Source organism: Homo sapiens, chromosome 2 (assembly GCF_000001405.40).
Source record: "Homo sapiens chromosome 2, GRCh38.p14 Primary Assembly".
Taxonomy (NCBI): domain Eukaryota; kingdom Metazoa; phylum Chordata; class Mammalia; order Primates; family Hominidae; genus Homo; species Homo sapiens.
Genome location: NC_000002.12, coordinates 240257372 through 240262617, shown reverse-complemented (window position 1 = coordinate 240262617; position 5246 = coordinate 240257372). Strand labels below are relative to the sequence as shown.

General features: G+C 54.3%; 1 annotated feature.

Moving 5' to 3' along the window:
* Positions 1880-4678: an enhancer, noted in NCBI's record as "VISTA enhancer hs1750". NCBI's record gives its function as "enhancer in: heart[7/7]" and the evidence as "EXISTENCE:transgenic organism evidence [ECO:0001131][PMID:17130149]".

Here is a 5246-nt window from a genome sequence, read left to right as displayed (position 1 = left end):
TTGGCTGCTTGTTGCTTATGGAAATTCTGCAACAGCTTGAATTTCTCCCCAGTAAATGAATTTTTCTTTTCAACCACACGGTCAGGCTGCAAATTTTCTAAACTTGTATGCTCTGCTTCCCTTTTAAATATAAGTTCCAACTTCAGATCATCTCTTTCTTCACACATATGAGCATACACTTCTAGAAACAGCCAGGTTACCTTTTGAATGCTTTGCTGCTTAGAAATTTCTTCCTCCAGTTGCCCTAAATCCTCTCTTTCAAGTTTATAGTTCCAAAGATCTCTAGGGCAGGGGCAAGATGCCACCAGTCTCTTTGCTAAAGCATAGCAAGAGTGACCTTTACTCCAGTTCCCAATAAGTTCCTCATCTCCATCTGAGACCACCTCTGCCTGGACTTCATTGTCTGTATCACTATCAGTATTTGGGTTAAAAACATTCAACAAGTCTGTAGGAAGTTTTGAACTTGCCCTAATCTTCGTATCTTCTTCTGAGCCCCCCAAACTGTTTCAACCTCTGCCCATTACCCAGTTCCAACATTACTGCCACATTTTCAGGTATCTTTATAGCAGTGCCCCACCTTCCTGGTATAAATTTTCTGTATTAATTCATTCTCACCTGGCTATAAAGAATTACCTGAGCCTGGGTATTTATGAAGGAAAGAGTTTTAATTGACTCACAGTTCTGCATGGCTGGGGAGGCCTCAGGAAACTTACAATCATGGCAGAAGGTGAAGAGGAAGCAAGGGATGTCTTAAATCATGGCAGAAGAGAGAGAGAATGAAGGGGGAAGCACCACACACTTCTAAACCATCAGATCTCACAAGTACTCACTCACTATCATGAGAACAGCAAGGGGAAGTCTGCCCCCCACGATCCAGTTACTTCCCATCAGGTCCCTCCCTGAAGACATGGGGATTACAATTAGAACTGAGACTTGAGTGGGGACACAAAGCCAAACCATATCAGCAGGTGAGCTACAAAATTGGGGCTTAGCCTGAGAGTGTTCTTGGCTTTGCCCAGGAAAGAATTCAAGGGTGAGCCAGTGGTGTTAGACAGCAAATGTTACTGAAGCGGCGGTGCAAGGCAGTAGCAGATGTGCTGCTCCTTTCAAAGCAGGGCTAGCCCAACAGGCAGTGTGCCCAGAGTAGTAGCTCAGGGGCAGTTCTGCCATCATATTTATACTCACTTTTATTTACATGCAAATTAACGGTGGATTATGCGGAAATTTCTAGAAAAAGGCTGGTGACTTCCAGGTTGTCAGGTCATCACCATGGAAAGAGGTGATGACTTCTGGTTGTTGCCATGACAATGGTAAAGTGACATGGCACTGGTGGGCCTGTCTTATAGAAAGGTGCTTTTGCCTCTTCCCTGTTTCATCCAGTCTTCAATCTGGTACACAGCTCAAGTGCCACTTCCAGAGTCAAGTCCCAACTCCTACCTCAAAAGCAGCCAAACAGAAAACAATCCTCTCTATGTAATTCTATTTATATGAAGTCCAAGAAAAGGCAAAACTCATAGATGCTGACAGAAATTAGGAAAAGTTTTGGGTGTAGGGGTGGAGATTGACTGGAATTTGACTGGAATTGGGCAGGAGAGAACTTTATGGAGCCCTGGAAATGCTCTGTCTTGATTGTGCTGCTGGCCCTGGGGATATAAAGTTACCAAGACTCATCAGATTGTGCCTTTGAGCATGTGTGCATTCTGTCCTATGTAAAATTTCCTTCCAAACAAGTGGTAATAACGAGGTCACCTGTATGTCCACAGTCTTGTAACTTGATCCAGTCACACAAGGCCTACTGGGATTTTCATGCGGGTCACAGCACCATAGACATACTCCACGGAATCATGTTAGCAGGTGCTCAGTGCCCAATCCAGGGTCTGGATTTGCTGCCGTTTATGTAACTCACCCCAAGGAAGCTTTGGAGAACAGAGAGGGAGCTGCCTCTTCCACAAAGTTCAAAAGGACCCTTCACTCTGCCTCTCCACATTCACGTTCACAGCGGTGAAAAATACCACACAGACCCTGGGCCATCTTCCTGTTTAATGGGGTCTTGAACGACACCTGACGTGAAGAGCCTATTGTGCCCAGCACCCTGATTTATTAGGCGGAAGCTGCAGGCCACCACTGGCCACACTTTGATCAAAAGAAGACAAAAGGAGGAGGTGCCCAGAGACAATCCCAGGTCAGGCTTCACTGTGATGAGCAGAGGGAGCCCTTGCAGGCAAACTCTTTGCAGGAATTCATCTCCAGGCAGCTGGCTCCACAGTGCCCAGACATGGTCACAGTTACTCCTCCAGAGGGCTCTGTGACCCCCAGCATGGGCCTTGGTGGGGAGAGCTCAGCTGTATCATGTGGGCTCAGTCCTTGGAATCAGGAACCAGCCTGATGACCCTCCAGGCAGGGAATTGACAGCTGAGGCCTGCAGATCACCTCTCTGGGACGTCACCCAGGGTCATCCCAGGTGGCCATGTGGCCTTCCCAGCTACGCCCAGCCTGGCAAGGTGCACCTACTCCAGGCTGCCATGTGAGAAAGGGGACAATGTCGTAGCGGTGTGGCAGGCCACCTGCCTTCTGCTGGGGCTCCGAGGTTTCCAACAAGCCTAGTGTGCGGTGAGCAGTGTGGGGATGGCTGCCTGGGTCACTGCTGGTCACAGGAGGCCAGGGCTGGCCCTGCAGGCCACAGCACCCCTCATGGGCATTCTCTTCGTCCTTGTTGACCTTTCTAAGCTCTGCCCCTCCTCTGAGTGCTCATTTCTGTGCTAAAATTATCTGGCAAATTCACTTCCACTCAGGCCTCAGAGGAAAGACGTGCAGCTCCTCCAGCAGGAGGGGCAACAGCCTGGGGTTTCCGGAAATCCAGGCTCCTGGCCTCTGACATGGGAGGGTGCCTCCAAGGGCTCTGGGCCTCGGAGTAGGTGACGTTGCACAAAGAAGTGAGATCCTAGCTGGGCTGCGAAAAACTTCCCATGGGATGTCCAGCTCAGGCCAGGAAGTCCTAGAGGGGTCCTGGAGGAATTGTGGGAGGGGCAGACTCAGGCGTGCAGACCACAGAGAGGTGAGAGGTGGGGGGTATTCTTGGCCTGGTTGAAGCCCCTCCCTGACGCCACTCTTATCTCAAGCTGGGGCTGAGGTAGGGGGCTGCGCAGCCCCAGGGCGCAGAGCCAGCTGTGTGGCTGCCTCAGTCCTTCAGCAGTGGAGATAAGTCACAGCGGCTGTTTCTGTTGTGTTGTCAGAGAGCAAAAATAGACTGTGTCTCCCTTTCCCAGAAGGGCCCTGGCATGGGCCTGGGCCAGGCTGCTGTCTGCCCTTGGCCTTGAGAAGAACGATGCCTGGCCGAGCGGTCAAGAGCATGAGTGGAGTTTGCCCGCTCCCCGCCTCCTCTTGCTCGTGGGGGAAACAAAAGCCTGGCTGGGGAAGGGCTCACTAGGCCTGCCCCTTCCATTCTCCCTCAGGGCCTCAGGCTGTGAGGGCGGTGGGGACCCCTGTACTCCACATCCAGCTCCATGGGGCCTCAAAGGTGGGGCTCCCTGGGAGTGCTGGGCTGAAGAGCCCTAGGACCCTGAACCAGACCCAGGGCAGGGTGGTCTGTGCTGCAGGGCTCGGGCAGGAGAGTGAACCCACACACACTCAGCCGCCTCCCAGAGCTCTCAGGGACACACAGTCAGCCGGCGATCAGCCTAGGGGAGCAGGTCTGTGAGGATGGGTGGGCTCCCTCGGGGAAGAGCAGCAGGGGCTCCCAGGGGCTCTTAGGGCGCCCTTGGGTGAGGGTGTCAGCCCTTTGACCTGCGAGCTCCAAGTGGAACTTGGCTGGAGCTGTTTCCATGGCCTAGGCGGACCCCCAGTCTAGCTAGCCAGGGTGAGGGAGGGTACCGGCCACACTGTCCAGCCCCCAAGTTCCGTTCCAGCTTCCACTGGATGAGATGGGGCACTGCACTGCACAGGGGCCACCCTCTCTGGACCAGATAGGGGACCCCGATGAACCTCTCAAGTGGAGGGACAAGGAGATAGAGCGGCTTGCTCTGCAGGGTACCACTCTGCCGTCTCCGTCTCTGAGCTGGAGCTGCTGTGGGCTGTCTCTCCCCAGGCCGGTGTGGACCCTGGTGCCTCCTTTATGGTATAGGGCGCTGTGAGTTGGGCAGAGCGGGCATCTTCCTGACCCAGGGCATGAGGGCTGCCCAGTGGGGGTGAGTGGGACTGCAGCTGAGCTGGGGTTTGGGTTCCCAACAGTGAGGGTCCCTGGTAGGATCGGGCGCTCCCTGTCCATATGGAAAGCAGACACAGTGCTCTGTCACCCAACAGGTGAGCTCTGTAGAGTGTCGGGGAGGCCAGCTGGGGCCTAGTGCATGGTGGTGTCACACACGCTGGTCTCCACCCGTTGGCACAGGGACCGGCCACCTCCCAAGCCCTGCTCCAGGTTCCTGACTCAAGCCCCTGGAGGAGGCCTGTGAGGAGACGGTCAGGGCCTCAGGGTCCCTGAGAGCCTGGAGCTCTGGAATCCGGAAGGCTGCTCCTTCACGTTCACCTGGCAGGGGCCAAGGCTGCTGTGAAGCTGAGGGTTTGGGGAATCAGCCTCCACTTCGGGCTGCGAATCCCTCGGCTCCTTCCCGCTCCTGGCTCTCCGCCGCCCCCGGCACCCCCATGTGTTTATGCCCCACTTATCTCCCGCAGCACATTTCGGAGGTGGATGTAAAGAAAATTCTGATCTTTTAAAATAGATTTCACAGGGGAGGTGGAAAGCGGGAAGGAAGGGATGAGTTTGTCTTGCGTTTGTTTTTAAAATAGGCCAGTGTGAGCCTGGTGTTTACGGTCGGCTGATGATGTCGCCACATCGTCCGTTCCAGCCCCCAGGACAGTCATTTCTGCTGAGCCCACGCACCATTTCTTGGCTTTTTGGTTCTCAAACCCAGGGCTGCGTGGTCTCACGATATTTGTGGTTGTGTGTGTGCGCACACGCGTGTGTTTATGTGTGTGCGTGTGTGTGCACGCGTGTGGAGGTGGGTGAGCTGGGAACGAAGCCTGCGGGGAAGCTGGGTGGACGGCACCACCCGCGTCACCCTCTATCCTGTGTGTGCTCACACGTGAGTGACAGGAAGTAGCTGGGCCTACAAATACTTGCCCTGGGTGGCTGTGGCTGGAGATGATTGGCCGGGGCTGGTCAGCATCTTAGGGGGCCACACCGCTCCGTCCAATGCGGGCCGAGTGGTCTTTGCGCACATGCAGCACTCAGGAAATCCGCACCCTGACCT